The following is a 27,291-nucleotide window of genomic DNA, read 5'->3' on the forward strand; positions in this document are numbered from 1 at the left end:
ATTGCTGCTACACTCACTTTGAAGTGAGAAAAGTTGCGGGTGGCTGAAAATTTTACTCTGAAAAGATGCTGGGTAGCTCTTTGTTCCTACAGCCCTGCAAACTATGCTCCTGATACAGAGTGGGGCAAGTGGGGCGGGAAAGTGCTGGGAAGGGAAAGGCGTAGTCCCTCGCTGGGGATCCAGCCCCAGACCTGTGCCCACAGACCTTGGTGAGGATGGGCATTTCTGTTCTCATGCCCAAATATTGCATTTCCCACGACCACCCTGGGCTGCCATACCCCTATCTTGTGCCTATAAAAACTCCAAGATCCTAGCGGGCACACACACAAGCAGCTGGACATCAAGAGGAACACACCAATGGTTGAGGACACAAGCGGCTGGAAATTGAGAGGAACACACCCGCGTAAGAGCACACCCACAGGCACTGACAGATTTCGGCAGGCCATCGACTGGTGGAACAATGCAGAGTTTGGCTGGGGTGGTCGGAGAAGAGCCCAGCTGCCCGGAAGCCCGATTGCAGGGGAAAACCACCTTCCCACTCCAGCCCCCTTCTGGCCTTCCCATCTACCTCGCTGAGAGCTACCACTCAATAAAAATCCTTACACTCATTCTCCAAGCCCACATGTGATCTGGTTCTTCTGGTACACCAAGGCAAAAACCCCGGGATACAGAACGCCCTCTGTCCTTATAAGGCAGAGGGTCTAATAGAGCTGATTGACACAAGCCACCTACAGACAGCAAAGCTAAAAGAGCACTCTGTAACACACACCCACTGGGGCTTCAGGAGCTGTAAGCATTCACCCCTAGATGCTGCTGTGGGGTCGGAGCCCCACAACCTACCCTTCTGCATGCTCCCCCTAGAGGTTTGAGCAGCTGGGCACTGAAGAAGTGAGCCACTCCCCCTGTCACACGCCCTGTGAGGGGGACAAGGGAACTCTTCCCGTTTCACTCCCACCGCTCACCCTCTATGTCCTGGCACCCAGAGGGGAGCCCTAGGGCAGGCACACCCCCAGCCTTGTTGGCTTTAGTTATGTTCATCCCATCTTCCATCTTCATTCTCAGTGCATCTGCATAAGCCTCATTGAAGTTAGCCAAGTCCAGGACCGTAGAAGCACATATGGGTTAAATAATCCCCTCACATTCCAATCCCAGCCTTCCTTTCGCCTAAAGCATCTCCATCCCTAATTCACTGCAAAGTACTAACCTCTAACTCACGGAGGCTCAGAACTCACCTTTTGGGGATCTCCTTATGGCCTCACTCCCTGGCTGTTACTGACAACCAGCCCCAGTGGAAAGCCAGAGCACTCTGTGGCCAGAATGAGTTTTTTAAATTTGCCTTGTCTTGGCTACAATTTTTGTCACTTTTTACAATAAAAAAGTTTTTCCTGTACTTTTAGGAATTTTCTATAGCCAGAGAAGTCAAGGATGGCCAAGAAACTCCAAGTGACTAGAATACCATGACCCCAATAATTAGTATGTGGTTAGCTAAGAGATGTAAATTCATATGTACATTATACTTTTTGAGAAATAACTATCGGCTCAATTAAAGATAATCATTAAAGAAAATTTAATGCAGACTGTGTATACGTATTTGAGACAGGGTCTCACTCTGTTGCCCAGGCTGCAGTGCAGTGGTGTGATCATAGCTCACTGTAACCTTGAACTCTTGGGCTCAAACGATCCTCCCGCCTCAGCCTCCTGCAGAGCTGGGACTTACAGGTATGCACCACCATGACCGGCTTACTTTTTTTGTTTGTTTTTTGTAGAGACAGGGTCTCACCAAGTTGCCCAGGCTGGTCACAAACTCCTGCCCTCAAGCAACCCTGCCACTCTGGCCCCCTAAAGTGCTGGGATTATAGGTATGAGCCCCTGCTCCTAGATGAACTGTATATTTAAAAAGAGTTTATAATCTAGAGAAAATGTAAGTAAATATAAATAGTTATGTTTAGATACATTTTTGTTAAGTTCTCAACACTTCTCTAGAATTATTTACTCCAACATTATTTTTCCCATATTATAAAACTTCCTCCTGCCTTGTGCAGCAACTTCTGAACTGCCACCCTTGCCAACTTCAGGCTGTTGAAATGGATACAGGCAGGTTCCTAGAGAAGTATGGGAGTAGAATAGACTCTTGTGGTTTAACAAATCAGAACAAGTTTTTAAATCAAAGAAACACCAGTTTTACAGGTAAACTGAGAGGTGATCATCTAATTGATGTGATGCATAGATGCTATAAACCACCTTACTTCCCAAAATGTATTTGTTCACCTCATCCATAAAATTTCACCATTCTATTTCTTCATCTTAAAGCACTTACTCCGTCAAAATGTAGATACCCATAAGATTTTTTTATGTGTACCGTTTTGCAAAAGATTTGCAGTCTTTTCTAAGAGTTCATTCTATTTTTTTTTTCATATCCTTTAGACTCAGTAAGAGTCCATTTAAATAGATGACATAGGAAAAGTAGAAGAGGACAGATACATCTATGGGGATTGGGGAAAGGATGGAAATCTGAGAGCCTGATGGTTTTGGCTTCAGCAATCCATAAATTCATTAAGCTTGGAACTGCTTTACCAACAGAAGAATTATATACACAGATTCATCCATTAGCTAAGTCTTTTATGCCAATGGACACCGCCGAAGAAGCATAAAGTCTCTCTTCCCACTGCTGTCATGTCTAAGTCAGAGTCTCCTAAAGAACCCAAACAGCTGCAGACGCTCTTCATCTGAGAGTTGAGCTTTGAAACAACCGACGAGACTCTGAAGAGCCGTTCTGAGCAATGGGGACAATTACCACACACCAACTGTGTGGTAATAAGAGATCCCAACACCAAACACTCCAGGGGCTTTGGGTTTGTCACATATGCCCTTATGGAGGAGGTAGATGCAGCCATGAATGCAAGGCCACACAAGGAGGATGGAAGAGTTGTGGAACCAAAGAGAGCTGTCTCAAGAGAAGATTCTCAGAGACTAGGTGCCCACTTAACTCTGAAAAAGATATTTGTTGGTGGCATTAAAGAAGACACTGAAGAACATCACCTAAGAGATTATTTTGAAGAGTATGGGAAGAATTGAAGTGATTGAAATCATGACTGGACGAGACAGTGGCAAAAAGAGGGGCGTTGCTTTTGTAACCTTTGGCAAAAAGAGGGACTTTGTTTTTGTAATCATGGCTCCGTAGATAAGACTGTCATTCAGAAATACCATACTGTGAATGGCCACCACTGTGAAGTAAAGAAAGCCCTGTAGTAGCAAGAGATGGCTAGTTTTTTGTTCAGCCAAAGAGGCTGCAGTGGTTCTGGAAACTTTGGTGGTGGTCATGGAGGTGGTTTTGGTGGGAATGACAACTTTGGTCACGGAGGAAACTTCAGTGTTATGGTGCCTTTGGTGGCAGCTGTGGTGATGGTGGATATGGTGGCAATAAGGATGGCTATAATGGATTTGGTAGTGATAGTGGTTATGAAGGAGGCAGCCCTAGTTACTCTGGAGGAAGCAGAGGCTACGGAAGTGGTGGACAGGATTCTGGAAACCAGGGCAGTGGCTATGATGGGGGTGGCAGCCATGACAGCTATAACAATGGAGTAGGCGTAAGTGACTTTGGTGGTGAGAGTGGAAGCAATTTGGGAGGGGGTGGAAGCTACAGTTATTTCTGAAAAAACAACAATCAATCTTAAAATTTGGACTCATGAAGGGAGGGAACTTTGGAGGCAGAATCTCTATGGTGGTGGAGACCAATACTTTGCCAAACCACAAAACCAAGGTGGCTATGGCAGCTCCAGCAACAGCAGTAGCTATGGCAATGGCAGAAGACTTCAATTCCTGCCAGAAAACACAGCTTAGCAGGAGAGGAGAGCCAGAGAAGTGACAGGGAGCTTACAGGTTACAATAGATTTGTGAGCTTAGCCAAGCATAGTGGTGGCAGGGCCTAGCTGCTACAAAGAAGGCATATTTTAGACAATACTCATGTGCATCGGCAAAAAAAAACCTCGAGGAGTGTATTTGTGACTAATTGTATAGCAGGTTATTCTAGTTTCTGTTCTGTGGAAAGTAGAAAGCATTCCAACAAAAGGTTTTAATGTCCATTTCTTAATTAATCCATTTATTGTTACACCCATGCTGTTGATTGCTAAGTATAATAGTCCAATCATGATGCTGAATAAATGTGCCGAAGAAGAAGAAGAAGAAGAAAAGAAAAAAAGAAGAAGAAGATAGTCGCCAACTTACAGTGGTTCAACTTGAGCTTTTTCAACTTTAAGATGGGTTTATCAGAGTATTAAATGCATTTTTGACTTATATTTTTGATTTATGGGATGGGTTTATCAGGACATAACCTCATTTTAAGTTCAGGAACATGTGGACTTACAGTGGTTTAACTTACAATTTTTTGACTTTACAATGGGCTTATTGAGGGCATTAAATGCATATTTGATTTATGATATTTTTGACTTATGATGGGTTTATCAGGACATAACCCATCATAAGTCAAGGTGCATCTGTACAAAATAGGAATATTGTTCTTAAGGGCAAGGAAAGACAAATGTAACAACCATATAACATATGCTTCCACATGCCTTTCTGTGAATCTAGACTTCCTTGGAATGATACCTGAAGTGTACTGCCTGTTTCCCCTTTCTCTTGGCTTATCAGGCTTTGGAGGGGAAAGGCACTTGATAATACTAAGTGCATATGCCTTTGTTGAAAATAAATTTTTGTATAAAATAAACATTTTCAACAAAGGCATTGAAAAAATTCAGTGTGAAAGAAAGGATTATTGTTGTTTTTTTCCAGTAAGTAATGTTGCAGCAACTAGCTATCTGTAAGAAAAGACAGAAGAAACTTGAATCCCCTAGTCCCTACCTCACACCATATACACCATACAGAAATAAATCTGAGATGGGTCATACATTTAAATGTAAAAGCTAAAACCATAAAGTATCTAAGAGAAAATATAGGAAATATGTTCCTGAACCCTAAGGCAGGCAAAACATATCAGAGGCAATAACCATGAAGGAAAGAAATGGACATCATCATAATTAGAAATTTCTGTTCATCAAAAAACACTCATTATGAAATTAAAAAGGTAAGCTTCAGACTGAGAGAAAATATTAGGCAAGCTACAGACTGAGAGAAAATATTATATATATATATGTAATATATACTCTGAAATATATATATATATGTATAATCTGACAAAGAACTCACATCCAGAATATATAAAGAACTTTTTCAATATGGAAAAGGTGGGGTGCAAAAGACTTGAATAGGGATTTCATTTTAAAAAATCCAAATGGTCAATAAACACATGAAAATGGGCTAAAAATTATTACTCTTCAGAGAAATGCAAATTAAAACCACCGGACGATATACTGTATACCCACAAGAATGGTTAAAATTAAGTAGTTAAAATTTAAAAGACTGATAATATCAAGTGTTGGAGAGAATGGAGCAACTAGAACTCCTATGAATTGCTGATGGAGTGTAAAATGATACAACCACATTGGAAAGTGGTAGTTTCTAATAAAGTTCAACATACACTTTGCCCTTGTCCCAAAATTTCCACTCCTAGATATATAGACTAATGACTTGTTGATAGCAGATTTATTAATAGCCAAAAACTAGTATCAATCCAAATGCTATCAGCAGGAGACTGAAGAAACAAACATAGCATGTTATTACACTGGAATACTACACAGCAATAAAAAAGAACAAACTACTAATAAATCTGATAACATGGATGAATATCAAAAACATTATGCTAAGCAGATGAAACAAAGAGCACCTACATCATACTTCCACTTATATGAAATTTAAAAACAGGCAAAACTAGTGGTTGAGCACATTGTAGTGATGGGAGAGAACTTTCTGGGGTGATGGAATGTTCTATATATAACAATTGTAAAAAATGTGGGAACATATTATGTAGCTGTGCACTTAAAATTCGTGCATTTTACTATGCATAAATTATGCCTCAGTTTTCAAAAAGGAAAAGAAATTCCACCTGGACTCCTAAAATACGTGTAACCCAAATAAGAACTAGGAAGTCCCCAGCCACAAATATGTGGGTAGAATTACCTCGTCCTCCAGTTTAGAGAAGGGAAACCCTAGGCCTCCCCAAGAGTTTGGCTGATCTCTAAGGTCTGGCTCTCTTGATTCTCTTCTGATCACTCTGTTTTGCTCCACAGTGATTCAGGCATGAACTTAGTGTGCTCTTCCTTGACCCTGAAAAAAATAAATACCCTCATGCTAAGCTTTTAGCAAGTCCAGTTAGTTTTTTGCAGGCTTGGCGTCGCAGCAGGGGTCTCGCCATGGAGTATGGGCTGCTCTCCTGCCATCCCGCTGGCTGCACTGTCTCTCCCCTCCTCAACATGGAACAGAAACTCTGCTTTTCTCAAGCCAGGAAGCCAGACAACAATGCGGGTACAGGGATTCAGCTTCCATGCACTATGATGGCCAGAGCATGTTGAGTGTTGAGGGTTTAGTAGAAGAGAGGGAGTTAGTTCGTGTTTTCCTAATATACCAGTCTACACATTGCCTCCAGTTTTATCTTCCTAAAGCACAAATGGCTTCTCTATAGCTCTGACTTTTCAGTGACCTCCATTACCTAACAACTAAAGTGTAAGATCGTTCACCTGTTTTTCATGACCTGTCCTCAGTCAACCCTGCCCCCCACTTTCCCTCTTCACCACAAGGATAGCCAGGAGGAATAACTATGTCCTCCCTTGAACACACACTTCAAATAGGGCCTTCACAGTCATTTTTAAAGCACTGTATTGGTGCAGTAGGAGTTAAGACTCTAATGAAAAACATTAGAGGAAGAAGTATAACAGCGAGACCAAGAGACACACAAAGAAGGCATTCAAAAGGCAGTGCTTTTATATTCTAGCTTTTTGGGGGTGTAACTTACATATGATAAAGTCCACCCACTTTTTTATTTTTTTATTTTTTTGGTGTGGAAACAAGACCACCCACTTTAAGTGCACAATCTGATGAAGTTTGGTAATCATATACTGTTGTGTAGCCACTATCGCAATCCATGTATAGAACAATTCCATCTCCCTAAGACGTTTTCTTGCGCCCCTTTACAGTGCATTCCATCCCTCACCTCAGCCTCAAGCAACCTCTGATCTCCTTTTTGTCACTATAATTTTGCCTCTTCTAAGGTCTCATCTAAATGGAATAATATAGTCCATGGCCTCCTGTGTTTGCTTTCTTTCACTTCTTCTTACATTGTCTTGTTTTTGAGGTTTACCTATGTGATTTAATGTATTACTATTTTGTTCCTTTTTATTGTTAAGTAGTATTCTATACTGTGACTCTACCACAACTATTCTTACCATTCACCAGTTGATGGACAAGGAGTTTTCTTCGGTTTTGAATCATTATGAATAATGCAGCTGTTAGCATTCATATGCCAGTCTTTGTGCAGACATATTTCATTTCTCCTGGGGAAATAGCTAGCAGTAGGAACGGTGGGTTGCATGGTAAGTGTATGCATCCACACATCTACTCCTGGCAATGGGTAGAAGCGCAATTAGCTGGGGAAGTTCAGAGCCCAGGCCTGTAACTAAAGCTGGAGACAAGCCCAAATTCTCAGTATCTTTATGGTGCAAGAGCTCTAAGCCAACAGTAAAGTAAGAACTGGGCTGGGGCTTGTGTACCTCCTAGGACCTGGTAGCGGAAACCACCCCATAGGAAAGCCCCACAAACCAGCCACAAAAGAGAAAACTCACATAAAAGATAACTCCTGTGGCAGATGAGCTCACAGACAAGAAATATGAAATATATGAGGATATCTAGCTCCAGAAACACAGTCTGCATAATTCATACCAAAAAATCCAAAAAGCAATCTTAAAGGTACCTTTAAAATAAATGTGTATTTAATCAACTGTTTGTTTAACTTAAGTAAACAATTAATACAGAGATATGAATTGTGCTTTTCTCTTTTGCACTTCCTTGTGTGCGACTCTTTCCCTGTCAATCAGAGGCACACATACTACTCTTGAGAAGAACTAGGATTGTTATAGGAGGAATACAAAACACAAAAGCAATATTTGCTTTGGGGAAGTTTTTACTTCTAAAATAAATTATTGAGAATCAATAGGAAAAAGCTGAAAGTACAGGGCATAGACCCTAGAAAGAGAAGGGTAGACTTGTGGTTTACCATATCTCTTACCACTGGGGAGATTCAATAAGGATGGCCTGGACTAGGATGTCAGCAGACAACTAAAAATGGGCTTCAGGCTTGGAAAAACGTCAGGGGCCTTAATATGAAAGGACTTGACTTGGGGAGGTCACATGAAGATGAGTAGAACCAGTGGCCTATGAAAGCTGAGCCAAAGTCTTCAGATGACCTGTGGCCTCTTGAGGGAGCACCTTGTCATCCACATTCGCTGTTCTTCTTAATCCACAGGGTAAAGGCATTCTATGGAGAGATACTTGTGTAGCACCCCTTAGTTTAGCCTGTAAGACACTCACTTAGCTCCAAGAGTTTGCCAAGCACCCACCAAACATCATTATAAAGAAACAAGCACCTCCCTGTATTGTGATATAGAACAGTCTCCAAAATATATTGTTAGGAATAAAACAAAAAGTATAATAATTTATGTAGGATACCATTTTTATAAAAGAAAACCTATATAGATGAATATGTATCTATGTGTGTGTGTGCGTGTGTGTGTAGCCAATTTTTTTTTTTTTTTTTTTTTTGAGACACAGTATTGCTCTGTCACCAGGCTGGAGTGCAGTGGCGCGATCTTGGCTCACTGCAACCTCTGCCTCCCAGGTTCAAGCGATTGTCCTGCCTCAGCCTCCTGAGCAGCTGGGACTACAGGCGCACGCAACCACGCCCAGCTAATTTTTGTATTTTTAGTAGAGATGGGGTTTCACCATGTTGGCCAGGATGGTCTCAATCTCTTGACCTTGTGATCCACCCACCTCGGCTTCCCAAAGTGCTGGGATCACAGGCGTGAGTCACCGTGCCCAGCCTCCAATTATTTTTATATTTGTATGTGTAAAGAATGTCTCTGAAGGATACAGAAGAAGTTGGTGCCAATAATTGTCTCTGGAGAGTAGAAGGGTGTCTGAGGAATTAAGTGAGTGAATAATTCCTTATATTGTAAAGCCTGGTTCCTTCCAAACATTTTTATCCTGTGTATGTATTATATATTCCCAAAATTGAATAAAATAATATACATAAATATTCACACAATGTGGCCATTTTGCTTCTAGATAAGTTGTCTGCAGAAGCCCTCACTCATGTAAAAAGGAGAAAAAATGCAACGTTGTTTGTAAGAATGAAACACCAGAAACAACGAAAATCGTCATCAATAGAGAAATGAGTATGTAAAATATGAACTAGAATATAGCAATTAGATAGGTAGACTAAATAGATAGGTCTAGCATAAAATAGCATATCACAGTTAAAGGAAATGAACAGGATTGATCTATCTGTGGATTGATCTATGTGTATATCAACATAGAAAGGCTCAAAAACATGTTGAATAGAAAAAGGAACATAACATAGAATATATTTAGCATACAATTTAAGTGAAATTTTAAAGACACACCAAGTAAGACATATTTTAATTTTAAAGACACACATATAAAAATGGCCTGGAAGGATATTAATTCACCATGTACTTTGCCTTCTGGAAGGCAAGGTTGCGTGGGGTGTGGGGCTTCCTCCATATCTGTAATATTTTATTTCCTAAAAATAACTACAAAAATAAAAAACAGCAAGCAAATATGACAAAAGGGTTAAAAGTTTTAATTCTGAGTGATAGAAATATAGATGTTTGTTATTTTATTCTTTGTGTTTTACCGTATGTTAAACATTTCCAGATATTTAAATAAGAGTAAAGAAGACACATCCAGCCAAGGTCCTCCAGATAGATCCTTTTGCTTTCTTTCTAAAGTCAAGTAAATTCTAAACTAACCTTGACATTATTAGTAAGTTTTGCTTTAAAAAAAATAAAATTTTGTGTTAGAAGTTTTAAAACATTTGGAAATTCTAGTTGCGGCTTCAGATTTCATAATTCAGATGATGCAACAGGATGGAACCATTGTCAAAGAGAATGCAGGGACGTTTGATGCTTGTTAGGACATGACTCCTGTACTTGCCCATTTGTTCATCCTCCAACCCCTCTTTCTTCCAAATTCCATGTAGCATATTCTCTCCAGGAAGCAAGAAGACTTGCCTGGCGGCATACTCATTTTCCCCATGCCTCTTTGCTGTTTGTGGAAAATAAAGCATTCTATAGGCGGAGCTAGTGAACGCCTCTTTTAAAACACGAGTCTCCACACTTCCCTGTTCACTTTGGTTCCAGCATCCTGTCCAGCAAAGAAGCAATCAGCCAAAATGATACCTGGAGGCTTATCTGAGGCCAAACCCGCCACTCCAGAAATCCAGGAGATTGTTGATAAGGTGAGTTGATGCCATTCAGGAAAAAGTCTGAGCCAAAATCTTGATTCATAAGTTGTCCCTGTGGAAAGGCTGTGGTTGAACATGAAAACCAGAAGTTTAGGATGTTTGTGGCTTTGTTCAGGTTTCTTTACAACTAAGATGAAATAAGAGTTTTTCAGATGAAGCCTCAAATAATCCCCAAACTGTGAGTGTGACCTTGAGCAAATCACATTTCTTCTCTGAGCTTCATTTTCTCCATGGGTAAAAGAATTTGTATTGTATCTTCTCTAAAGCTCTTACAAGATATGATTCTAGAATTACTAATTCAGTTTCTGATGAAACTTTTCTAATCTCACCAAGTGAAGCCAACGTGTAATTGAAGTCTAAGGTTATTAACAATTTGATGAAGTAGTCTTGGAATGCACTGCAGGGAAAATTTTTTTAAATAGATTGAATGAAGAATAATATTGTAAAGGCAATCTACTTACAAACTTCATACACTTTTGCCCAAATAGATAGTGTTTTAGTCTTTTCATAGTTAAAAGGTAATTCAACTAATAGAACAGAGGTGACAGTCTATAGTGACTCCGAAATGTCATAGGGCACCAAATTATATATGGAAAAATAGAACTCAATGTTGTTAGCAGATTGATGTGTTTTTCACTTCTTCTTTTTTGTTTTGTTTTGTTTCATTTTTAAGAGATGGGGTCTCACTCTGTCACCCAGGCTGGAGTGCAATGGTCTGATCACGGCTCACTGTAGCCTCAACTTTTTGAGTTCAAGCGATCCTCCCCACTCAGCCTCCTGAGTAGCTGGGATTACAGACATATGCCACCACGCCTGGCTGATTTGGGGGGTTTTGTTTTGTTTTGTTTTTAGAGATGGCATTTCATTCTGTTGCTAGACTGGTCTTGAATTCCTGGGCTCAAGCCATCCACTCACCTAGGCTTCCCAAAGTATTGGGATTACAGGCGTGAGCCACCACACCCATCCCTGATATATTTTTCTTTGTGTGATTAGCTATCATCTAGCTATGTAGTAAACATTTATTTGCATATTTTATGAAAGGAAAACATGTACAAATTACTACTTTAGGTTTTTAGTTTGTTGCCTTATTTTCTTATATTATTCCTTCTTATTTTTTCTCTCTGAAACATCATTCTATGACAGCTTGGAAAACAAGATCAGCTTTTTGTGTGATTATAAGAGTTGGGATCCTGTATATTCTGGGAACTAGAAAGCTCTCTAAGGGGCCAGATGCCTAGAATCCCATCACTCATTCTTGGGGACTAATTATTTCTCTTTCAAGAGTTCTTTTTTTAAATAAATATCTTGGAGCTTTTTTCCTGGGAGATGATATTAAGTCAGTAATGTCTTCATGTGAATCCCCAGATCAGATCAATGTTCTCAAACTTGAATGTGCACATGAATCACCTGCACGTCTTGATAAACCTTAGATTCTGATTCAGGGGACCTGGGGTAGGTCTGAGATTCTGCATTTCTACCAGACTCCCAAGTGCTGCTGCTGCTGCCACCCATGGCCTTGCTTGCTGGCAGGACCAGAGATATATGGCATCCTACAAGGCCAGTGGGAGATGGGGCTTTAAAAGTCAGGGTGCAGGCTGGGCTCAGTGGCTCATGCCTGTAATCCCAGCACTTTGGGAGGCTGAGGCAGGTGGATCACAAGGTCAGCAGTTCGAGACCAGCCTGGCCAACATGGTGAAACCCCATCTCTACTAAAAATACAAAAATTAGCCGAGCATGGTGGTGGGTGCCTGTAATCCCAACTACTCAGGAGGCTGAGGCAGGAGAATTACTTGAGCCCAGGATGCAGAAGGTGCAGTGAGCCAAGATAGTGCCTGCACCCCAGTCTGGGCAACAGAGCAAGACTCTGTCTCAAAAAAAAAAAGGGCCAGGCGCAGTGGCTCACACCTGTAATCCCAGCACTTTGGGAGGCCGAGGCGGGTGGATCACGAGGTCAGGAGATCAAGACCATCCTGGCTAACACAGTGAAACCCCGTCTCTACTAAAAAATACAAAAATCAGCTTGGCGTGGTGGCGGGCGCCTGTAGTCCCAGCTACTCGGGAGGCTGAGGCAGGAGAATGGCGTGAACCCGGGAGGTGGAGTTTGCAGTGAGCCGAGATTGCACCACTGCACTCCAGCCTGGGCAACAGAGTGAGACTCCGTCTCAAAAAAAAAAAAAAAAAAAAAAAAGTCAGGGTGCCAAAATAAAATTTGTCTATTTCATTTGAAAAATGAAGGTAACACCTCTTGCCCTACCTATGTCAGAGCTGTAAGGACTAAGTGAGATAATGTGCATAAAAATGACTTGAAAATGAAAAAGAAATGTGCATAGGTGAGGTATCACAATTGTTTACTTCAAATTTGTGGCTGAAAGCATCCCTGACCCTAAAAAAATCCCCCTGAGACTCTCTAAGGAACAGAGCTGTAGGAACATAGGGAAAAATAAATTTGAAATAGAGACAGTACAGAAAATTTTAATGATTTTTAAAAAAATCTATCACTCGATTAGCAAGAATTATTAATTTTTAAAATAAGAAGCTACCAGAAGGCCTTGCATTGCTAATAACACCTATCTGTGAGCCCCATCTTAAATTATAAAATTAATTTGAAAGTGTGTGTGTGGCAGGGAGGAAGCTGCTTCCCTTTGGCTCCAATGTCATCAGAGAGGTAGAATGAGAGATAAGTATTAAGAACAGCTACCTCACCCCAGAAAGGGGTTTTGCAGTTTTTAAAAGCTTGACCTCCATTCGAGCTCTGATTTCATCTTCATAACCCCTGGAGCAGGCAGGGAAGATATTGTGTCTATCTTGCAGATGATGAAACCAAGATTCAAAGAGATTAAGAGTCACTTAATTAAACTGGGCATGGTGGCTCAAGCCTGTAATCCCAGCACTTTGGAAGGCTGAGGCGGGCAGATCACATGAGGTCAGGAGTTCGAGACCAGCCTGGCCAACATGGTGAAACCCTGTCTCTACTAAAAATACAAAAATTAGCCCGGCGTGGTGGCAGGTGCCTGTAATCCCAGCTACCCAGAGGCTGAGGCAGGAGAATCACTTGAACCCGGGAGGCGGAGGCCACAGTGAGCCAAGATCATGACATTGCACTCCAGCCTGGGCCACAGAACAAGATTCCATCTCAAAAAAAAAAAAAAAAAAAAGAGTCACCTAGTTAAGAAGTTAGCTCACCCCCAGTGTTTGACTGCCTGCCCTCTCTACCACACAGTGGCAGAACACAGAGGAGCTTTGTTAGGAAACGGAAATACACTGAATGGAGAGAGTGTGGTAAGTTTGTCTTCTCAGTGGAAGCACCAGCCTCACAGTTAAGTCCATATAGGAGGCCAAGGCAGGCGGATCACCTGAGGTCAAGAGTTCAAGACCAGCCTGGCCAACATAGCTTTCTACTTTCTAGTTTTCTACTAAAACTAGAAAATTAGCTGGGCGTGGTGACGGGCGCCTGTAGTCCCAGCTACTCAGGAGGCTGAGGCAGGAGAATTGCTTGAGCTCAGGAGGTGGAGGTTGGAGTGAGCCGAGACTGTGCCACTGCACTCCAGCCTGGATGACAGAGCGAGACTCCATTTCAAAAAGTAAAAAAAAATTAAAAATTTAAAATTTAATTTTTTTTTTGACGGAATCTCGCTCTGTCGCCCAGGCTGGAGTGCGGTGGCACGGTCTCGGCTCACTGCAAGCTCCGCCTCCCGGGTTCACGCCATTCTCCTGCCTCAGCCCCCCGAGTAGGTGGGACTACAGGCGCCCGCCACCATGCCTGGCTAATTTTTTGTATTTTTTAGTAGAGACGGGGTTTCACCATGTTAGCCAGGATGGTCTCGATCTCCTGACCTCATGATCCACCCGCCTTGGCCTCCCAAAGTGCTGGGATTACAGGCGTGAGCCACCGCGCCCAGCCAAAATAAAATTTTTTACTCCTTAGAAGGACTGGTGCGGTGGCTCTCGGCTGTAATCCCAGCACTTTAGAAGGCAGAAGCGGGCAGATTGCTTGATCTGGGTGGTTCAAGGGCATCATGACAAAACCCTGTCTCTACCCCCTCCAAAATACAAAAAAATAGCCAGGTAGTACACGCCTGTAGTCCCAGCTACTTGGGAGGCTTAGGTGAGAGAATCACTTGCACTCAGGAAGTTGAGGATGCAGTGAGCCATGATCACGCCACTGCACTCCAGCCTGGCCAACAAAGCGAGACTCTGTTTCAAAAAATAAATAAATAAATAAATACAGGAAATGAATATCACTGAATCATTTCATAGTAGGTGCATTTCTTGTATATCTCCTAGGTGTCTAGCATTATGCTAATTATTATAGAAGCTACATGAGGTCTATAAGATATGGCCCCTGGCCTCTAGGAGTTTACAGGGTAGTTGGGAAAATCGAGATATCTGGAACATAATATAAAACAATATCCAATTAAGTGCTTTTTTTATAATCACAGGTTTTGGACCAGAAAAGATGTTAGAGATTGCTGGTCAAACCTCCTTCCTTTCAGGTGAATAATTACTGTGAGGCAGTTCAGCTCCTCTGGTGTTAAAGCCCCAATTATCACTTATCTGCCCTCTCTTGCAGGAGTGAGCCTTAGGGCACAATTTCCAATTCAGTGTTAGAAGGTAGAGGAAGAGTTGGAAAACTCTTTGTAGTTTAGGAAGCACTTTCACGTCAATTATATCATTTATGCCCCTACAAACAGCCCCAAGAGGCAGGTATTATTATAACCGCTTTATAGGTGAGAAACTTGAGTCAATTCCTTCTCCAAAATTACAGTTAGGTCCCCATGCAGGAATAGGGAAAATGGATAGATGCTAGTAATTTAGGGACAATCTCCACTACCTGTCACTTACTTGCTAGTTTTATTATTTTTTATTTTTGAATGTATCTCTGTTTTTTAAAATCACCTGTTAAAGTGGAAGTATTCTCAGAGGAGCTGAAGTTTATCAGCTTTCCTTGGACTTCTCAGAGAGCTTCTTAGTGGAAGGCCAACTGAAGAACCCCATTAGAAGGAGAGAAAGAAGGAAGAAAAAGATCATCACATAGAAAAGGGAAGAGTGTCAAAGACAAATGATAACTGCATGACCAAGGAATTTGATATCACAGTGAAAGAGGAATATTGGATGAGGGCAGAAAGAAAAGAAAGGCAAACAAGGGATGGCAATTGAGAAAACTTGAATGTTTTTGAAGGCAGGAGAAATGAGTTTTCCCATTCTGAAGATAACAGAGACTGAACATGTCATTGTAGCACCATGTACTAAAGTACACTTGGAAGAAAACCCTCTTCCAAGATTCTCCGTATTAGCTGATGTCATTGCTATACTCATCTTTCCTATTTGGGGAGACAAGTTGTCAGGATGGAAAACAACTGTGGTCTTTTCATTCAGAAAACATTGATTAGGTAGACAGAACTGTGTGAATTGCTATGGGGGTAGCAGGGACATAAAATAGTGCCTGCCCTTTGGGAAATTAATAAAATAGAATGGAGCTAAGAGGGACACATCCAGAAAGACAGAGCCATACACAGGCCCATTCATGAAAAGCCACAATCTGTATAACGAAGAACCAAATAAATGAATGGCCCAACAGCAAAAGCCTCCGGATCATTATTGCTGATCCATTATCTTATATAATATGTTAATAAGCATTTTGATGAGAATTGTGAGCATATTTATGAGAAGGAAAGAAATGTTATTTAATTGTTTTTAGAGGTAAGGGCTACTATACATGCAATGTGCATGCACACAACAAACACACACACACACACACACACACACACACACACACACACTCCCCTTAGTCATAAACCTAATTGCTGAATACTATTCCTGGCCAACACACAGAACATGATTTTTGTCAGTCAGGACACCGCACAAACACTTCATCTGCATACCATCCTGGGCACACCCTGGAACTTAGCATGTCATGGCTCTCACCCCATCCACAAATTTGCATTCCCCTCTCTGACCACAGCCTCCTTATTAGTCGCCTCTCCCACTGTCCCACACCCAAAGAACCTGTCATTCAGCCACACCAGAATCCTTCAGGCACCTACCTTCCCAACTTCATGAGAACATGCCCAGGCCCACTGAGTCTCTCATCCAGCCTGGACCCCATGACAGGAGGGTAGCTTCAAATACTCCTCCACTCATGATGATTTCCTTGACCCTGGGAGCTCCTGACATTCTAATTCTCAATTAAAGGTCACACCCACTGCCACCACTTTCTATGCAGCTACTACTGTTCCAGAATCAAAGAACTTTGCCAAAGCGAGGTGCAGAACCACAGAAAACTCACCATTACAAACCTGTGGATTAATGCTTAACAACCCGGACAGGACCCAGGGCTGCCAGAACATTCTTGCAGTCATATTTGTTGGTCTTTTTCTAGAAACCCCACAAATGTAAATCTCTCTTCAGTTGTTCATTGCCTCCCACCCCCATGGTCCCTCCAGCAGGATGTCTCAGTTCCTACTCTTCTTAGGCCAGCTGTCCCCAACCTTTTTGGTACCTTTGTGGAAGGCAATTTTTCCACAGATGGGGTGGAGGGGATAGTTTTGGGATGAAGCTGTTCCACCTCAGATCATCAGGCATTATTTTCTCATAAGGAGCACGCAACCTTGATCCTTTGCATGCAGTTCACAATAGGGTTCCCACTCCTATGAGAATCTAATGCTGCCGCTAATCTGACAGGAGGCGGAGCTCAGGCCATAATGCTCACTGGCCCACTGCTCCCCTCCTGCTGTGCAGCCCGATTCCTAACAGGCCATGGATGGGTACTGGTCTGCAGCCCAGGGGTTGGGAACACCTGTCTTAGGAGATTGCAGATCTCTGGTAAGAAAATGCCCCAGCTGACCCTATCTCTTGCTGGATCTCATTCCTCCCTAGACTCTATTCTCCTCTCTTCAGCCAGTCCTTCCTCTCTTAGCCAGGTGACTTCATTTCTTGCATCCTCAATGCCTTGTCCCATACTTCCTTCTTCCTTCAAAACATACTTAGACAATAAATGTCCACAAGTCACATCTTACTGGCCCTACTGTCCTTTCATGTTACTATTCAAACTCTCCTTCCTTACTCTCTAAATCTCCCCCAAATGTAATTCATCCACTTTGCCATCAATATCTTTCTATCTATTTTCTATTAAATTAGGCACAGTCCTATTGTTTCTGTAGAATGACTACAGATTAGGGGAAAAGCCTGAGTGTTGGGTGCCTCATGGCTCAAATCCTCAGATCTCAGAGAATAAACACCTCACCAAGATTCATGCTCAGTAGCAATGAGAAATGCTTGAAGAACTCTGGGTTAAATGCATTATACCAGGTGCTTCTCCCTGGTAGCCTCCTCCCCGGCTGGAGACCAAGCGACAAACCTCCACTGTATTCCTTGAGCTCCCGTCACCATCACGCGTGGCAGACTGAGAAAGGTGAAGGCCAACTGCATTCAGCAGGAGATGTGTCCGTTCACCGCCAGTCTCCCACCACCGTTCCCAGCTGGCCTGCATCCTCCTAGTGCCCATCCTGGGGAGTCTTTCAGCACCAAGCTACCTTCTGAGACTTAAGTTTCACTGACAAGCTCCCCTACTCTGCCCCTTTCCCTGCTCCTCAGCTCAAATCTCATCACTCAGGTCCATGTCATCTAACATTAAACCATGCAAATCTATTTTACTGGGAAGAGGGAGGGAGGCTGCAAGTTACAAGTAGAGTGAACCAGAAATCAAGGTCCACAGTCTGACAGGTGCCAGAACACTTCAAGAAACAAACCAGATCTTTTAAATCCCCTCTCTCATGGAAAATTCTGCATTTGTGGATTACACAGATACGATGGAAAAGTTAAAGATTTGGATATATTTCTAGGACAGATAGAAATAAAAACTTAGGGCCAGGCATGGGGGCTCACCCCTGTAATCCCAGCACTTTGGGAGACCAAGGTGGGTGGATCACCTGAGGCCAGGAGTTTGAGACCAGCCTGGCAAACATGGTGAAACTCCATCTCTCCAAAAATATAAAAAATTAGCTGGGAGTGGTGGCAGATGCCTGTAGTCCCAGCTACTCATGAGGCTGAGGCAGGAGAATTGCTTAAACCCAGGAGGGAGAGGTTGTAGTGAGCTGAGATTGTGCCACTACACTCCAGCCTAGGTGACAGAGCAAGACTCCATGAAAGAGAGAGAGAAGAAAGAAAGAAAAGAAAGAAGAAAGAAAGAAAGAAAGAAAGAAAGAAAGAAAGAAAGAAAGAAAGAAAGAAGAAAGAGAGAGAGAGGAAGGAAGGAAAAGGAAAGGAAAGGAAGGAAGGAAAAGGAAAGGAAAGGAAGAAAAAAGGAAGAAAGAAAGAAGAAAGAAAGAGAGAGAGAAAGAAAGAAAAAGAAAGAAAGAGAAAGAAAGAAAGAGAAAGAAAGAAAAGAAAAGAAAGGCTGGTTGGCTTAGGATACGTGCTTAAAAAGAAACATGACTGAAAAGCAGAAGGAACACAGATCAGATATATAAGTTATCATGCAAGGACTTTAAAATAACTATGTTGAATAATTTTTCAACTTTAAGCAGTCATGCTCAACTCATAGCCTTACATTCTCCATTCATAAAATGAGGTTTAAATGGATACTTTGGGGGTTAGTGTAGAGATTAACTCTTTCAAACTCAGCTCCTAACTTGACTGGTGCCAAGTACTGGCCATCCCTCCTTTGGAATTTTGAAAGGCTTTGGAAAGGGACCCTAAGACAATAACCTGTTTCCTTACTCTACTTCTCTGTGCATCCTTTCTCCGCTCTCCTGCCCCTAGCTCTTCCCACTTCTGGTTTGTCCTCACTATTTGTCTTCTCCCTTTCTCCACTTTGAAATTTCATTTCCATCTCAACAGAACAATCACACTTTTCCCGTCTATTCTCAAGGTTACAGGAGAACTGAGTGGTGGTCCGTGGAGTGTTTGGCCTTTCAGAAATGGTCTGAGAACTCACAGTTTGCATATGTCTACATCTTTGAAAACAGTTCTGGTACTCAAACTGAGGCATCAGTAGTAAAGGTTCAAAACATCTGCCCAGGGAGGATTGTTTGAGTCCGGGAATTCGAGGCTGCAGTGAACTATGATCACGCCACTGCACTCCAGCCTGGGTGAGGGGGAGATTCTGTCTCTTAAATTTAAAAAAACAAAAAACAAAAAAAACCTGCCCACTGATAGGAAGGACTGCCTTGGGAGAATCCTAGATGGACTGGAGGCCTGATTGAAGTTGTATGGACATGCAATGCTTTCATGAAGGGCATAAAAGCAAGTTCTCAATAAACAAGGTACATTCAACACAGAGAGTTATATCCTTTTTCCTCCAAAAGACAGAAAAGAATTGGGGTTGAAGGACAAATCCACAGACATAAAGACAACAGGAGATAGGCAAGTACCACCTCAGAAATACCAATAAAATTTTGGAAGTTGGAAAACAGATGAACAATGGAAAATGCTGAGCAGTCTAAACAGAAGCTAAGCCCATAGAGGGGAAAGTCTAAGCCAGAAGCAAGCAGATTCACACTGCAGAACGTCACAATGGCGCAGGCATGAGCAACACCAAAAAGTCGTAGCCAGGAGTAAGGTCTCAGACCAAAAGCAAGAGGACTGATCTGTATGAAGGACAGTGAGACCTCCCATAGTTCCTTCTCCCTCACTGTCCTCCACCCCGGCAGAAGACGAGCTTTACACTTAGCAGGAACTGAGTCAAGAGCTCATAGTAGACTCTTGCATATCAGGCCCAGCTGAGAGTGGGAATGAAGCACTGTACAGAAAGTTGATGGGCTCAGTAAAAGTTTACATATTGAATTTGGGACTGTCTCCCTTCTCATGCTGGGTTCGGGAATGCTGACATTTAAACCCAACCCATATCCCTCCATGGTAGACAGAATGATGGCCCTCCAAAGATGTCCATGTCCTAATCCCTGGAACCTGTGACTAGGTTCCTTTACACAGCAAAAGAGACTTTGCAGGTGTGATTAAGTTAAGGCTCTGGAGATGGAGAGGTTATCCTGGATTATCCAGGTAAGCCCATGCAATCACAGGGTCTTTATAAGAATTATACCCAAATACTGCACTCTAGTTAGTATATTGTTTTCCACAGGGGTATAGGTCAACAATTCTGAAATTATTTTATGTATATGCTAGAACTGAGAAAATAGGCGAATACATTGCAAATAATAAGAACCAGGATTCTTCCTCAGTGTTTGAGAAAGGAGTTATAATAAGGAAAAGGGAAAAGCTAAATGAGTCCTGTGGTATTTGATTTATTTTATTATTTATTTATTTATTTATTTATTTATGTATTTTGAGGCAGAGTTTCACTCTTGTTGCCCAGGCTGGAGTGCAATGGTGTGATCTCGGCTCACTGCAACCTCCGCCTCCCAGGTTCAAGCAATTCTCCTGCCTCAGCCTCCTGAGTAGCTGGAATTACAGACACCCACCATTGCGCCCAGCTAATTTTTGTATTTTTAGTAGAGACGGGGTTTCATCATGTTGGTCACACTGGTCTCAAACTCCTGACCTCAAGTGATCCACCCGCCTCTGCCTCCCAAAGTGCTGGGATTACAGGCATGAGCCACCACACCCGGCCGTGGTATTTGATTTTAATCAGAGGAATACACACACACACACACACACACACACACACACACACACGTACACACACATATATAATGTATATATATAATGACACACAGATAAATGTGTGTATATATGCACACACATACACAAATGCGTAAAGATGTGTGCATGTGTGAGTACACATATTATTTTGTAGCCCTTTCCACTGAGTGGGCCTAGAAGCAATGACATTTAGTAACAAGAGACACAGCACCCAAATCTTGGGTCTTAAATACCGTTCTCCAATAAAAGGAGCAGGGACTCCTTGGAGAAATAGTTGATTCCAGTGAGGAGGCAAGGAAACTTCAAGATAAACCTGGAACATCTGACTCTACTTTTGTAGAGTCAGAAAGTAAGGAAGTGCTTATAAAATGATGGAGGCATGTTGAAAGAACACAGGCATCAGGTGAAGGAGCTCCCAACGGCCAAATCTAGGGCATTTGAGTAACAAAATAGAGTAATGAATTGTAATCCACAGAGTAAAAGAAATATCCATGAGTCATATTAATATAAAATAAGTAATTGACTACATAAAGAGGAGAGAGGGAACAGCTCTTCCTTATGGCAGAATTCCAGATAATAAATGCACAAGAAATGATTTTTTAATTACCATTTGGCCAACACCACAATTAATCATTGTTGTAGGCAAGAACCATCAATGGATGCTAAAATTCATGTATGAAAGTATGGCGAGAAACAAGACTCCTCACAAGACACTTACTAATTACAAAGGGGAAAAAAATGGTAACTTTACCGTGGAGAAACCTGGCAGACATCCTAAGTGATCAAAATTAACATCACCAGTAATGAAACGTAGCTCCTGATAGGATGCACTTAAGCACAACATCACGTTTGTGCTATCCTTACAAACATGTATAATACTAACATAAGAGGAGATCACACAAACCTAAATTGAGAGACATTCTACCATTTAACAGGCCAGTATTCTTCAAAAACATCAAGGCCATGAACAAAAAGGAATGAACCCAGATTGTAGGAGACTGAGGAGAAATGACAACTAAATGCAATGTAGGATCCTGCATGAGATCCTGGAGCAGAAAAGAGACATTTTCAGGAAAACTGGCAAAATTCTGATAAGGTTTAGAGACTACTTAATAGTATTATACCATGTTAATTTCCTCATTTTGGTGATTATACTATGTTATGTAAAACGGCAAAATTAAGGGAACTGTAAATGATATAAGAGAATTCATTATACTAATTTTACAACTTTTAAGTCTGAAATCATTTTAAAATAATGTTTTAATCAAGTAGTAATTATTGCTCCACTGATTTTTATTAATCAAAGATACATATAACTCTTAGAGTTTTAGCAGTCAAAACGCTCCTATATTGCATTACCACACTGAGTTGATGTGAATTCAGCCTAAAGCAACAAAATTTGACTTTTTAACCTATGTAATTGTATTAAAACAGGTGTTTTCTATTGAAATAATAAAAATAGTTCATAGATTTCATTACCATCTTTGAAGACTTTTAGGAGGATGAGGTTCCCAGATGGGTACATTGCATACATGGAGTCTAATATAGCTTTGATTATTTGTTTCCTCTTTTCTTTTCTTTAGGTTAAACCACAGCTTGAAGAAAAAACAAATGAGACTTACGGAAAATTGGAAGCTGTGCAGTATAAAACTCAAGTTGTTGCTGGAACAAATTACTACATTAAGGTTAGAGTTCAGCACCTACTTTAGCGCCAAAAGATGTATTTCTCATTTTATGTAAAATATTCCCTGATTTCCCTACCACATAATTCCTTCCTTACGGTTGTCCTAAATTAAGATGCCCAGCATGATTCCTTCCAAGTGGTGGACTCTCAAATTTGGTAGATGATGTGACACCATTTTTTTTCTTGTGAATTCAGAAAGTTTTATTACATTGATTCTTGATTTCTGGAAATTGTATAGAAAAAGATTTCATAACAGTTCAGGGCATGCTGGATTTGTGGCTGTGCTGCTGCTTAGGTAAGGAGGGAGGATCACGTCTCATCTGCCTGAAGGTGTGGGGCTGGACCACATGGTATCTTGAAGCTGATTCTACCTCAAAGCTGTATGATTCTCTATGTCTAAATTAAATAAATTAAAGTAACGACTCAAATCATTAGCTGGGAAAATAATTTAAACCTTTTTTGCCCTTCAATTAATATAATGTAAATACTATTTTGTAACTCAAATTAGATTTAACTTGTGGCACTCTAGGCATAGTTTAAAAGAGTGGAGTATTTAAAATAGTTTAAAAGTTAATTTTATAGCTCTGTCAAAAAATTACACAATGCATTGATCGAGTTCTAATTGAAGTTATCAAGAGGAAACCAGTTGAACAAGTCAACCATGAATATTTGAGAGCCATGTTTGTCCTTATATATTAAGAAGATGATAATGCTGATTTTAAAAATAAAAACAAATATTCAAGTATATTTACTTAATCTTTACTTCACTATTTGACCAGGGCACAGTGTGGCTTATTTCTCTTTAACAAATATTTCTATTAAAATATAAACATTTTAAAAGATTTTTTCAGCAAAAAAAAAAAAAAAAGTAAGTGAAGTAAGTGGAGCTAGTCAGCTCAGCATAAGAAAGTTTCAGTACAGAGCTATGTACACAGATCAGCCCTGTTCTGCCAAATGTGAGCTCCTAGTAACGACCAGGTCCCGGGGAGACACATGTGAAAGAGGACCCTGCTGTATCCTCAGAAAACAATGGCACCATTTCCTCCATTCTCAATCTGCTTTCTTCATGGCTGGAAAAGAAAGTTTTCCAGTTAAAAATGATTATGTGCAAAGATAGGAAACATTCCATCAACATTAACATATTTAATAATTTATGATTAATTCAAATGCATAAATTTCACATATTACCAGCTCACATGTTTCTTCAACAGTTCATCAGATAACTATCTTGAAAATTTCTGCTTGAAAATTTGTTCCCTTGACCACCCTTTTGCCCTCTCTTAATCAGTCTCCTCTCTCTCTCTCATCTTTTCTTCCTTCTGCTATCAAACTTTTCCTACTGGATCTCAGCCACCGATCCCAGTTCCCTTTTACTTCCTGGTAGTCTGGCTGTTGATCCCTTTGCTCTGAGGCACTCTAGATTTAAGGTCTTGCCAGTGATGTGACCTTCTCTATGTATTTCAAGTACCTATCAAGAGGTAGGTGGTAGAATGGAAGGACCACAAGCTTAGGTGTCAGAGTGTCCTGGGTTTGAACCCTTGTTCAATTTGTTCTATGGGAAGCTCCTCCTCCTCTCTGAGCCTTCATTCCCTTATCTGCACAATGAGGGTAATAATCTACTTCGCAGCGTGTTGTGAGGAATAAATAAGCTGGAAATTTATTGAGCACTTATAATTCACTATGCACTATTCTAAGAACAGGGCTTATCTCATTTAATCCTCACAACAAATCTATGAGATAAGTACAATCACTTCTCTTGGGTTACCAACGAAAAAACTGAGTTCCAGGGTGGTGAAGAAACTAAAAAGATCACACAACTACAAGAGCAGAGTCAGGATTTGAACCCAGATAGACTGAGCTTAACTACTGGCTGTGCTGCCTCTAATATAAAGCACAAAATAAGAGCTTTTACAAGGTTACACTGGCCTGGTGTGGTGGCTTATACCTGTAATCCGAACACTTTGGGAGGCCAAGGTGGGAGGATAGCTTGAAGCCAGGAGTTTGAGATCATTCTGGGCAACATAGCAAGACCCTGCCTCTACAAAGAAAATGTTTTAATTACCTAGGCATGGTGATGCACACCAGTAGTCCTAGCTACTTGGGAAGCTGAGGTAGGAGGATCACTTGAGCCGAGGAGTTTGAGGTTGCAGTGAGCTGCGATCGCACCACTGCACTGTGAGCCAGGCCTCATTCCCCGATCAGTACCCCCCAAAAATGTTACATTGTAGAGTGAAAAGAATGTAGATGCTAGAGGCTAACAGATCTGGGTTTGAATATTGGCTGTGCCACTGACTAGCTGAGAGATTTATGGAAAATCACTTAATCTCTCCTACTCTGCTTCCACGTCTGTAAAAATTTCATTGCTCCACTTTTCTTCAGGCCTATAATATAGGTTAATATAATCATTTATATAAAATGTTCATCATAGTGTCTGGCTCACAGTAAACATTTGATATATGGCATTTGTTAAAATTAGGATAGGAAGTGACATCAGAAGCACAATAAATATTTGTATAAGACAAAGCATTTATTGTCTCCAGCAAGAACCAAAGTAAAAATTCTTACCATAATTTTCCAGGTCTCAGATTCATGTCCAAACTACTGCTTCTGCTTCAACCTTCCTACCAATGACTTCCTAGTAAAACCCCTTAGCTTTTTTTTTTCTTTTCTTTTTTGAGACGGAGTTTCACTCTGTCACTCAGGCTGGAGTGCAGTGGCACAATCTCGGCTCTCTGCGACCTCCACCTCCCGGATTCAAGCGATTCTCCTGCTTCAGCCTCCCAAGTAGCTGGGATTACAGATGTGCACCACCACACCCAGCTAATTTTGTATTTTTAGTAGAGACCAGATTTCACCATGTTGGCCAGGTTTGTCTCAAACTCCTGACCTCAGGTGATCCACCCACCTTGGCCTCCCAAAGTGCTGGGATTATAGGCGTGAGCCACAGTGCCCGGCTGGCCCCTTCACTTTAGAAGGGAGGGTGTCCGCCCCCTGGGCTCTGCTCAATCCTACCAGTGGGTGTTTATAAAGTAGGTTCTGATATAGGTATGGGAACCCTGCATCCCAAATTTTCTAGGGCAATTCTGATTTTCTTCTCCCTTATCAGACTGTATGGCAAACAAAGTGTCCCAAGTTGAGAGTCAGAAAACAGTATCACCAAAAATATAGGCTATCACTTGTTTTCTTGCTCCATGCATCTTTGAAAATAAAATGCTGTCCTTTGTGCCCAGATTATACTAAAAAAAATAACAAAATAAACCTAGGACCTATGCCTCTTGCCATGCCATTAGTCTACAATTTTTTTTTTTTTTTAAGACAAACTCTTGCTCTATCACCCAGGCTGGAGTACAGTGGCATGATCTCGGCTCACTGCAACCTTCTCCTCCTGGGTTCAAGTGATTCTCCTGCCTCAGCCTCTAGAGTAGCTGGGATTACAGGCATGCACCACCATGCCCGGCTAATTTTTTGTATTTTTAGTAGAGACGGGATTTCACCATGCTGGCCAGGCTTGTCTTGAACTCCTGACCTCGTGATCCCCCTGCCTCAGCCTCCCAAAGTGCTAGGATTACAGGTGGGAGCCACGGCACCCAGCCTAGTCTGCTCTTTTTCTCCTAAAATAAGGTGGTGGATTTATGAATACAAAGAGTCTAAGAATGGTGGACTAGGTCTAGCAATGCTGTTCCTCAGCAGCTTTTTGGACAGAAGTCTTTGTAGACCTGTGGCTCTCTCACTTGATGTAGACCCATTTGAATGAATCTCCTTTTGCTTTCTCTTTCTTTAATATTTTTCAGGTACGAGCAGGTGATAATAAATATATGCACTTGAAAGTATTCAAAAGTCTTCCCGGACAAAATGAGGACTTGGTACTTACTGGATACCAGGTTGACAAAAACAAGGATGACGAGCTGACGGGCTTTTAGCAGCATGTACCCAAAGTGTTCTGATTCCTTCAACTGGCTACTGAGTCATGATCCTTGCTGATAAATATAACCATCAATAAAGAAGCATTCTTTTCCAAAGAAATTATTTCTTCAATTATTTCTCATTTATTGTATTAAGCAGAAATTACCTTTTCTTTCTCAAAATCAGTGTTATTGCTTTAGAGTATAAACTCCATATAAATTGATGGCAATTGGAAATCTTATAAAAACTAGTCAAGCCTAATGCAACTGGCTAAAGGATAGTACCACCCTCACCCCCACCATAGGCAGGCTGGATCGTGGACTATCAATTCACCAGCCTCCTTGTTCCCTGTGGCTGCTGATAACCCAACATTCCATCTCTACCCTCATACTTCAAAATTAAATCAAGTATTTTACAAAGTGTGTGTGTGTGTGTGTGTGTGTATATATATACTTTTTTTTTTTTTTTTTTTTTGAGACAGAGTCTCGTTCTGTCACCCAGGCTAGAGTGCAATGGTGTGATCTCGGCTCACTGCAACCTCCACCTCCCAGGTTTAAGCGATTCTCCCATCTCAGCCTCCCAAGTAGCTGGGATTACAGGCACCTACCACTGCGCCTAGCTAATTTTTGTATTTTTAGTAGAGACAGGGTTTTGCCATGTTGGCCAGGCTGGTTTC

At 41.4% G+C, this 27,291-nt stretch overlaps 1 protein-coding gene and 1 pseudogene across 1 annotated transcript, besides 1 other annotated feature; both read left to right on the forward strand.

Moving 5' to 3' along the window:
- Positions 2,596–3,968, forward strand: HNRNPA1P23 (heterogeneous nuclear ribonucleoprotein A1 pseudogene 23; annotated as a pseudogene).
- Positions 7,779–7,828: an enhancer, noted in NCBI's record as "active region_20366". NCBI's record gives its function as "activates an Ori minimal core promoter by ATAC-STARR-seq in GM12878 lymphoblastoid cells {active_cell/tissue: GM12878}" and the evidence as "EXISTENCE:reporter gene assay evidence [ECO:0000049][PMID:35858748]".
- CSTA (cystatin A) lies at positions 10,313–27,034 on the forward strand. Its single transcript, NM_005213.4, has 3 exons — positions 10,313–10,423; positions 22,612–22,713; positions 26,504–27,034. Exons 1-3 carry the CDS (start codon positions 10,358–10,360, stop codon positions 26,630–26,632), a joined length of 297 nt encoding a protein of 98 aa, NP_005204.1. The 5' UTR covers positions 10,313–10,357; the 3' UTR covers positions 26,633–27,034.

The sequence above is a fragment of the Homo sapiens genome, chromosome 3 (assembly GCF_000001405.40).
Source record: "Homo sapiens chromosome 3, GRCh38.p14 Primary Assembly".
NCBI classification, from domain to species: Eukaryota; Metazoa; Chordata; class Mammalia; order Primates; family Hominidae; genus Homo; species Homo sapiens.